The 3497-nt window shown below is 37.4% G+C and overlaps 1 annotated feature.

Annotated features, from left to right (window-relative positions):
- Nucleotides 2336–2837: an enhancer, noted in NCBI's record as "NANOG hESC enhancer chr20:53746218-53746719 (GRCh37/hg19 assembly coordinates)". NCBI's record gives its function as "activates a minimal SCP1, AML or CMV promoter by ChIP-STARR-seq in naive H9 embryonic stem cells {active_cell/tissue: H9 hESC(naive)}" and the evidence as "EXISTENCE:reporter gene assay evidence [ECO:0000049][PMID:30033119]".

The following is a 3497-nucleotide window of genomic DNA, read 5'->3' as shown; positions in this document are numbered from 1 at the left end:
CAATAATAGCTCATACTGTTGATCATGAGAAGGATATATGACAAGACATTTACAGTTCTTTGTAACTTATTTGGGACCTACCAAAGAAAATATTATAAGTAGTGTGTTAATGTACACACAGAAACATTAACTTGTGAGTTCCACAGATCTTGGGGGTTTCATAAGAAGATTACTGAGAAATCTAAATAACCCAGTATATAAAACTCTGCATAGCAAAATACCTGATACATAGTAAGATGTCCGTAAGTATTAATTATCAATGTCATTACTTTATGTATCACATATACTGATATTTATCCAAGCGTCAATCTTGCCTTCTTTCTCAATAATAAAATTTCAATTTTTGTTTGTGGAGACAGTGTATCCAGGTAAAAAGGGCATTTTGCAGTCTTCCTCGCTGTTTATGATGGCCAGGTAATTCAGTTCTCTTCAGTGCAGATGTCTCCTGGGGACTTTTTGGGAAAAGTAGTAATCTCATATTCTGTGTGAAAAGGCAACACATCCAGCCCAAAGTGTATGCTATCAGTCTCACTTGTAGTTAAGGGTGGCTGTGAAATACAATTCTGTCAATTTGGACATATCACATTTCTCCTGGGTATCTGAGAAAAATTTGCCTTTCCTGACATGGACACCCCTTCTTCCTTACTATATCCAGCTTATTTCTACTCAAAGTGTGCCATAGCTTGGGTAACTCGGGCAGCAGACTCTGCGACTGAGATTAGTATGCAGAGAGCTTGTTAGGAGTTCTCATAGGATCAAAACTTGAGGAGCAAAGAAAGGAGAGTATGATTGGGCACAGGAGGGAAGAGGAGAGGTAATGCAGTGTGAACAGAAAGTTCAGACAAAGCTACAAGGCGCTCTCGAGATAAGATGACCCTTCAGTATTATTCCATGTTGCACAAAAAAGACTGAGCTCTATGCCAATCACTTATTGGATGATGCCATTTCAGAAAATGGGCATGGCTTTGAGCTAAGACAATTCTTGTGAGGGGCTGACATCTGAGCACTTTAGGCTTGCAGTCCCCCAGAATGGAAAGCTGAGCAGAGCCTCACAGCCTCACAACATCCAGAGTGACTGAAATATGAGGCTGGAGGTCCAGCAGCCATATTGAAAGGGTGAGGCAAGGCCAGGTGCGATGACTCATGCCTGTAATCCCAGCACTTTGGGAGGCCGAGGTGGGCAGATCACCTGAGGTCAGGAGTTCGAGACTAGCCTGACCAACATGGTGAAATCCCGTCTCTACTAAAAATACAAAATCAGCCGGGCGTGGTGGCAGACACCTGTAATCCCAGCTACTCGGGAAGCTGAAGCAGGAGAATTGCTTGAACCCAGGAGGCAGAGTTATAGCGAACCGAGATCATGCCATTGCACTCCAGCCTGGGCAACAAGAGCGAAACTCCGTCTCAAAAAAAAAAAAAAAAAAAGAAAAGAAAAGAAAAGAACAGGGTGAGGCAAACAAGTGGAGATGACAGCCATATGCTAAGCCTGGGTGGGCAGAAAGACAGGAGGATCTTGAGACACTGATAATATTGTGAAGTCATTTCACCAACCCTGGACTCTAGGTTTCTTATTATGCCATAAATGTAACTTACTATTTTCTGCAATTAATATATATATATATATATATATATATAAAATACATTAATGTTATCATTTTTTGCCAAAAACACATGTATAATAGGGAAAAGAAAAATATGAGTATATTTGCCAGTATTTTATTTTCCAAGATCCACTCTATGTCTCTCTCCTTGCAGGCAATAGTTTGTGTAGATACTAATATACTATTAATAATATCTTTTTACTTCTCTGAGAAGTCCTCAAAGTCTCTCTCCATTGCGACTACTCAGCACCCATGGTATGCCACATGCATGTCAAAGATCGTGTATATTTCCTTTTGCACTTTTTTCTGTACTCACTCTTGTACTCCCTTATTGTTTCCTGTGTATCAGCCAGGTCTTCCCCCAATTCTACCACTGTAAGTCATCTGAGAACAGGTTTTATATCACAGATTAAATTTGTGCCTTCCTCAGCTTAAATGTATAGCAATATAGAGTATATAAAAGTGATTGATCAATGTTTGTTGTAATAAACTACAGCTTTAATAGCACAATTGTAAATATATGTTAGATCTTCAATAATATGATAAGTAATAAGGTATTCTGTCTCTTAAAAGAAACAGAATAAAAGGAGTATAGAATTAGATCGTTTAATCCCCTTGGAGTGAGCCTTCATTTAATGAAAGCAGGCTGTATTTGGGCACCCTACTCCCCTCTCCTGGGGCCTAAACCATCCAGACTGAATATTGTGCTTTGTTTCAAATGCCCTTTGAGAGCAAAAGGAAATCAAAGGCAATGACCCGATGTGCTCTATAAATGATCAGTACAGAGTTCTCATCAGTAGTGAATAATGCACAGACAACAAGGAGGGGTGGGGAGAACATTTGCTTCGTACATATGTATGGAGGGTGGCTACTCCGCAAGGGTCCAAGGACAAAGTGCTATAAAGACCTTCAGACAGTGCCCTTGGCCTGCCTTTTCTCAACTGTTCCTTTTAAACTAGATATGAGAACTTACCAGATGACTCTGAGTGCCTAAATTTGTAAGTGAACAAGGCAGAAGGTGAACAGCAGGGTGCCTACTTCAGTACAGGGGCAGCCAAGGACAAATAGCCTGAAGCTTTTGATCGTGATATCAACAGCAGCAAACCAATAATCTTTAGCCAAAACCCATTTGCCAATCTCGCTTGCCAATTTTATTAGCCCATTTCTGCAGAAAATATGGTCTGAAGTGACGCTTCCATGCTAAGGATTTTTTGGGAGGTATAATGGTTGAGAAGAAAAAAGGGAAGAAAGAGAGAGAAAGGAAATCCAAACTGGCAAGTAAGTTTTCAAAAACAAAATATGTCAGATAAAGAAATCAAGCAAAATGGGTCAGATGTAGAAATTAAGAAGGAGTACTGTAGATTTCCTGAATGTCTTGTCATAGTTTAAAATTTTAATCTTCCCACCCTTCAAAAGCTATACTTAGAATATTTGGCATGTGGCTTTTAGTTTAGGGTTAAGGAAGCCTGTCCAGAGAAATCTGAGTCCTACAATAGGGGAAGAATTTAGTGATAGATCTGGGAGAGAAAGAAGAAACCAAGAAGACTGTCACTTTTCTGGATGCCACATTCTGGTGCTCAATACAAAATCTCCTTTTACAAGACATTATATATATAATATATATAATATACATATATAAAGATATATGTCATATATAAAGTACATATATATTTATATATAATACATATAATATATAATATATATAAAATACATATATAATGCATATGTTATAATACATAACATATAAATACATATATTTTATGTGTATTAGACTGATATATACATATTAGAGTGATATTATACATAAGATATTATGTGTAATATATATTCTATATGTTATTTATATGTAATTATATATTATATAATATATAAAATACATATGTGTATGTTACATAC

The sequence above is a fragment of the Homo sapiens genome, chromosome 20 (assembly GCF_000001405.40).
Source record: "Homo sapiens chromosome 20, GRCh38.p14 Primary Assembly".
Lineage (NCBI taxonomy): Eukaryota > Metazoa > Chordata > Mammalia > Primates > Hominidae > Homo > Homo sapiens.
The sequence above is the reverse complement of the archived record's forward strand: the minus strand, read 5'-3'. Positions and strand labels throughout refer to the sequence as shown.